Source organism: Homo sapiens (genome assembly GCF_000001405.40).
Source record: "Homo sapiens chromosome 16 unlocalized genomic scaffold, GRCh38.p14 Primary Assembly HSCHR16_RANDOM_CTG1".
NCBI lineage: Eukaryota > Metazoa > Chordata > Mammalia > Primates > Hominidae > Homo > Homo sapiens.
In genome coordinates, this window is record NT_187383.1 from 1071650 (window position 1) to 1078648 (window position 6999).

The window sequence follows — 6999 nt, forward strand, 5'->3', positions numbered from 1 at the left end:
CTTTGACTACAAGGACTTTTCCACCTATCTTTGGTGGTGGGTAGCATGAAAATTATGCACAAACTTTTTTTTTTTTTTAACCCCATCAGCTGTTGTTAGCATTAGTGTATTTTATGTGCAGCCCAGGAGCATTCTTCTTCCAATGTGGCCCTGAGAAGCCAAAAGACTGGACACCTGTGCACTAGATCAAAAGGCTACTCCTTCTGGAAGCAATTGTAAAGAATTTCTGACATTATCTTGACATGAAAACCAATGGATAGTGGGACAGAATGCAAAATCTTGAAGAATTTTTCTTGTCTTTTTTTTTTTTTTTTTTTGAGTCACGGTCTTGCTCTGTGGCCCAGGCTGGAGTACACTGGTGAGATCACAGCTCAGTGCAGGATCAAGTGCTCCTCCCGCCTCAGCCACAGTAGTAGCTGGGACTACAGATGCTCACAACCACCCCTGGCTAATATTTTCTTTTTTGTAGAGATGGGGTCTCACTATATTGTCCAGGTTGGTCTCAAACTCCTTGACTCAAGGGATCCAGGAAAGGATAACAGGTGGGAGCCACCACACCTGGCTATGTGCATGAACTTTTAAGACAAACACAAGGCTCCACAAAAGTTAAGGTTTATCCCACCTAATTTCCAGGGGGATCTTTTGGTGCAAGGCTGAGAAGCCCTTAAAAGTACACAGACAACTCCAAAGATTCAAGACAGTTCATTCGGGCTGAGCCAGCCCACTGGGCAGACTGACCTTCAAAAAAGACCTACCCATGACATACACCAGATGGCTCTCCAAGAATCCCTTCAGTCCTCAGGGTCCCTAACGTACTGGACAGAGCTAGGAAAGCAAACCCATTTGCTTCTTCCTGCAGGAAACCCTTTGAGGTTAAGACCCCACAATCACATGAGGATGGAGTGGCTCACCCTCAGTCAACAGGCCAGACTCAAGGTGGTATAATGTCTTAACCACGGGTGCGGGCCTCCAGGTCTGACTCCCAACTCAGTTCTTCTTTAATAACCACACTTTGTTAATTTTCCTTAACAGGGGTTCCTGGCAAGTCATTTCTCCCTCAGGCCTTCGGTTTCCTCACCTACAAGATGAGAGGGCTGGACCAGATGGAAATTCAGGGGGTAAGGGGATGTCCTCGCGCAGCCCACCCCCACCCCCACGGGACCCTGGAGCCTCCATCCCAGTTCCCACCACACACCCGCTCCACAAATCCTGCCCAAGGTGAGGGCTGGTCCCGGGTCCTCTGGCTGCCGCATCAGCGAGTGCAGGAGGGAGGGGAAGCCTCCAAGGGGGTGACGTGGGCTCAAGGGTGCAACTCGGCCAGGAGTGAACTGGGGCCCCGAAGGAGGTGTCCGGGCTGCTCCTGGAGCCCAGCCCGGGTCCCCGAACCCCTTACCTCCAGGGTCTGTATCTCCTGCTGGGTGAGGTCACTGGACACAGCGCACTTGGTGCACAGCCCGCACAGGCTGCCAATGAAGATGACGATGAGCTTCTGGAGCTGCCCGCACTGCTGCAGCGCCCGGCTGGCCGCAGCCCCTGTGCCACCCTCCGTGGCCGCCGCATCACCCCCACCACCACCATCCTTCTTCTCCCCCATCGCCTCCGCAGGCAGCGCCGCTCTATGCAGGCCACAGGGGCCTAGGCAAGGAGCCCGGGGCGCCGGCACCTAGGCAAGGAATCCCTAAGCCAGGAGAGCTGGACCTGGAGCACCCCTGGGCGCTGCCCTTGCCAGGACGCCAGTAGAGCTGGCAGCCGAGCCTGCCGCTCCCGCCCTCAGAGCCGCGGCGGCGGGGACAAAAATCCTCGGCGGCGAGGGCAAAAAGTCGCGGTGGCAAAAAGCGGCGGCGACCGGGGCAAAAAGTCGCGGTAGCAAAAAGCCGCGGCGGCGGGGACAAAAAGCCGCTGCGGCGGGGGCAAAAGGCGGCGGCAACAGCGGCAAAAAGCCGCGGGCGCAAAAAGCGGCGGCAACAGCGGCGGCGGCAAAAAGCCGCGGCGAGGAAAAAGTCGCTGCGGCGGGGGGGCAAAAAGCCGTGACAGCGGGGGGCAAAAAGCCGCGGCGGGTAAAACGCCGTGGCGGGTAAAAAGCCGCGGCGGGCAAAAAGCCACGGCGGCGGTGGGGCAAAAAGCAGCGGCGGTGGCGGCGGGGGGGCAGAAAGCCGCGGCGGCAGAAAGCCGCGGCGGCAAAAAGCCACGGCGGCGAGGGTGCAAAAAGCTGTGTCGGCGGTGGGGCAAAAAGCCTGGTCGGGCAAAAAGCCGCGGCCGCGGCGGGGGGCAAAAAGCCGAGGCGGGCAAAAAGCCGAGGCAGGGTGGGGGCAAAAAGCCGCGGCGGCGGAGGGGCAAAAAGCCGCGGCGGCGGGTTAGGGCAGAAAGCCGCAGCGGGCAAAAAGCCGAGGCGGGGTGGGGGCAAAAAGCCGCGGCGGCGGGTGGGTGGCAGAAAGCCGCGGCGGGCAAAAAGCCGCGGGGGCAGGGTGGAAAAAGCCAAGGCGGTGATAAAGCCGCGGCGGCGGGGGGGGGGGACAAAGCCCTGGCGGGCAAAAAGCCAGGGCGGCAAAATTCGCAGCGGTGAAGAGTCAAAAACCTGCGGTGGTCAAAAAGCTCTAGCGTTGAGGGGGCAAAAAGCCGCAGCGTACAAAAAGCCGAGGCGCGGTGGGGGGAGAAAGCCGCCGCGACGGGGCGGGAAAAATCCGCGGCGGCGGGGGGGCAAAAAGCCGCGGCGGCGGGGGGCGAAATAATGGAGATGGGGTAGAAGGCCGGCACAGCTTGGCATTGCTGGAGTGGATGTGACAGGAAATGTGCAGCCAAAGACAAAAAAAGATGTAAGTAGGCTTGACTCATTGAAGCTAAGAACCCAGATGTTATCTTGAGGGTATTAACTAATAAGCAGTTTAAATCAGAATGGCACATTCTGATTTGTTGTTTGTATGTTCACATTTGGCAGGCATAGATACTGTTTGAAGAGAGAAAAGTCAGTAGAGAGAGGTAACAAACTTAAATATGTGCCAAGTCTAGAAACAAGAGACCAGGGGGATAGGGACCTTTCAAAATAAAATGCAAGATGTGAAAACTGGCTGGGGGATGAGGAAAAGGCAGGTCTTTAAGGTCCATCCCTGTTTTGCTTTAAGTTGTTAGGGGGTGGTTTTATCACATGTTGTAGAATATGTCATTTCAGTTTTGAACATCTTGAGTTAAATTGTCCTAACATATCTTATGAATTTGATTTTCTTCCCTGGGAAGCTAATATTTCAAACACTTAAAGAGTATATAGATTTCCAACTTGTATCCCGTTTATAAAACTATCTCTAGGCTGCTGATTTCAGGAGGAGGCTCATGAGTATTCTCTTTGCAGAGAATATATCAGGAGTTAACAACAGCTTCAATATTTGTGGACGACCAGTTAACTAAGCCAGCTCTTAGTGTCTTTAGTTGGGAAATCTTAGCTGAAGATATTCAATAATGAACCAAGAGTGACTAAAAAATTCAATATTTAAGTATATTTCATTGTAATTAATTTGAATTGAAATAGCCATATACAGCTAGTATTTACTATATTGAACAATGCAAATAAGAGGAGAAAATTAATAACCATCTCTAATACCACATGCCAAAATCCTCATCAATTTATTCTAGCTAAAGGAGTTGATCAGAAGCAGCAGTTGAAAGCACCAACTAAACCAGCTGGGGTTAGTTCACTGTCATTCTCTCAGAACCATCTCTTCTCTGAACAAAACAAGTACAAGAGTTCATTGTGAATCTGCATTCTCCTTGCCTATTTTAAGGTTTTGATGTTGACACAAATTTGTGAAATCCCTCCTGTGGTGTGATATTTCGTTTTCCTTGCTTTCTGTTAGGACAAGAATGCTTCAGCTCTTAATTTAAAATTATGTTTCTCCCTCCTAGGTTGAGTGAACTTAGAATGCATTCTCTGACATATCCAAGATTTTGTTAATATGATTTTCGGGAAAAAAGCATACTTAATTAGCTAAGACGTCTTATTCTAAGCTTGACCCTATGTTCGACATCTTTTGAATTTCTAGTTGCATGGGCTGCTCTCTGACACTGGTTAGTGACCTGGAAGCTATATTAATGTTAGGGGAGGTGGTGTATGAGCATTAGAGGTATCCTTGCAAGGAAAGACTTGTCTTATCTCAATATGTCTTTTTTTTTGCACACAAGAAAGTCAATGTCTGAGTCTTCTAAAATCTTCCTATTTCCAAATTGCAGATTATGATTGATTCCTAAACAAAGACCTAATTTTTGACTCAGAGACATGGCAAGGTAGTGAATCACCATTATAATTTAACAATCTTCAAGATAAAATTATCTCTGATATTTAGATTTTACCCAATTATTAAGATATTTGGGTGTTTCGTTAAGAATGGAAAACTCTAGTCTCTTGAGCAGAGACTATAAAGGCCTCAGATGATCATTTTCAATTTTATGCTCTTTTCTTTAACACCTTCAACACAGTTGGAAGCAGCTGATATTCCCCAGAGTTGTTGTGTTTTTTAAACCAAATGCATGGTTCAGTGGTAGAAAACTGGGCTGATCCAAGCTGTTTTCAGTAAACACTTCATTTCAGGTGACCTATTTCATATTAAATAATCTGTAGATCCTGTCTTTGAAACTAACTAGATCAGATAACCTACCCTGGATTTTCTCCTTTTAGGTTCTGTGAGCTGCAGTCACTTTTGTGAAAATGATTGCAATGACAAGATAGAGTTGTAGATGGGGAAAATGTTTTGACTAATTTAAGCATAGTGGTATTTCATATGAGAATTTAAGTTACACACATTTGAAAATTATAATGGAGTCTCTTGGCTGAGCTGTAAAAAAAAAAAAATGGCGTTTAGGCTAAAAAGGGAACTGCTACCTCTCCTAAAATCAGAAAGATGTTACAGTAATTCTCCATTCTCTAGAATTATCAAGAAGCACCTTTGTGATGATTTACTTTTGCTCTTGCGAGTGTGAGCCCGTGCAGTCGTGGAACCATCAATTAGAATGGTGGCTTTCTGATCCCAAAGTCACTCGTTCTGAAAACAATATTTTTCATAAATTTGAAAGTGAGAAATTTTGATCTTGCCATTCCCAAGTAACTCTCTTAATAAGAGGCATCAGCATGCTTCAGTGACAGCTGTCACCTTCCATTGCTGAGAGTCATCTTTGAGTTCTCTATTTCACTCCCTACACTCCAATTTAGCTGCAGTTCTCTTGGCCAGTCCTATGAAATACATCCATGGCCTAACGACTTCTCACCACTACTACCACTCATCCTGACAGCATTCTCACCTAAGTCACTACCTTTTTTCGCTGGATTAGAGTAGCCTCCCAATTTATTTGCTCACATAACCTATTTATTCTACACAGTGCACCAGATACACCCCTTTGAAATGCAAACACAATCATATTATTCTCTGGTGAAATTATCTCATATATTCCTATCGCATTTAAAATTAATTCAGAATCATCCCATGATTATCAAAACCCTACATGCTCTTCCACAACATGGTTTACTTCCAAGATATCTCTTCAACATTTTTTTCACTGTACTGAATTGGTGACTAATAGTCGTATTTTTTTTTTTTGCTCAAAAAGTCTTGACTTGTAAGTTTTTCAGTTTCTCCTTTATCCACAGGTAACTCTTTCCTCATAAGGCGAATTGCTTGCTTCCTTGAGTTCTGCTCTCAAAGATACCCTTCATTTTCTACCTAATATTAATAATTTTAATCATTCATTATTCCATTACTATGCTCTATAGTGTATACAATTTCTGTTCTTTGTCATGTTATTAACTAAATTATTTATTGGGTCCAGTAACGTATTCCATAAATATTGTACACATAAAAATTGTGTTATTTTTATTCCTGTATGCTCAGCTGCCCAATAACAGTCTGAGGATTAACATATTTGTTAAATGCACAAATACATTCTTTCACAAATATTAGTTTAATAATTTTATATTAAACTCCCTCTATACTTACAATATGAATTAGATAATTCAGAATAAACATTCCATTGGAAAAAGCTACACAATTTGTTATAAAACATCCTTAAAAGCATCAGAAAGTTAATACAGCAATGAAGAATTACAGGACCAAATTAAGAATGGTATGAAAGCCTGTTTGTGACGCTTATGTTTGGGTTATCTCTTTATTTGAGTGACTATAAATCTCAAAAGAGAACTAAAGGGAGAAATAACCATATCTACTAACATGGTAAGGGTACTTAAACATCTCTTAGTAATTGAGAAAATTGAAAGAAAAGAAAAAGGAGAAAGGGAGAAAGAGAAACAGTGAAAGGGATAATGAAGGAGAGAAAGAAGAAGAGAAAGGAAGAGGAAGAAAAGTAAAAAGGAGGAGGGGGAAGGAGGAAGGAAGAAAGGTGAAAAGAAAGAATGGTAAACTTTTTAACAACATAATTTATCCTTCTAGAATATGAATGTTGGTCTATTTGATGATGTCCCACAGATTCATTAGTCTCTGCTCATTGTTTATTTTTTATTCTTTCTGTTTCTGAGAGTCAGTATTTTCCATTTTCTTCTCTTCAAGTTCATGGCTTCTTCTGTGTGTGCAAATATACTCTTAAATCCCTCTGGTGATTTTTAAATTTTTATCATTGTAGTTTTCCACTCCAGAATTTCTGTTATCTCTTTGCTGATATTCCTACTTTTTAATATTTTTTCTGATTCCTTTATTTCTTTATGTTTTCCTTTTGACATTTGAGTATAATGAAGAGAGTTGTTTTAAAGTCTTTGTCTGGTAAGTTTGATGTCTGGGTTTCCTTAGGGATATTTTCTGTCAATTTATTTTGGTCCTTTGAATGAGCCACACTTTCCCATTCTTTGTATGCCTTGTAACGTTTTTGAAAACTGGACATTCTAATAATTATAATTACTATGTGGTTACTCTGTAAATCAGAACCCCCCCCTACAAACACAGTAATGTTTTGTGGTTTTAAATTTTCTTTACTTATTATATTGTGAAGGATTTTTTTTTTTTTAGTGAA

General features: G+C 44.1%; 1 pseudogene; it reads left to right on the forward strand.

Moving 5' to 3' along the window:
• Positions 1 to 1085: 1085 nt before the first annotated feature.
• Positions 1086 to 4110, forward strand: LOC107987383 (circumsporozoite protein-like; annotated as a pseudogene).
• The last annotated feature ends 2889 nt before the right edge of the window (positions 4111 to 6999 follow it).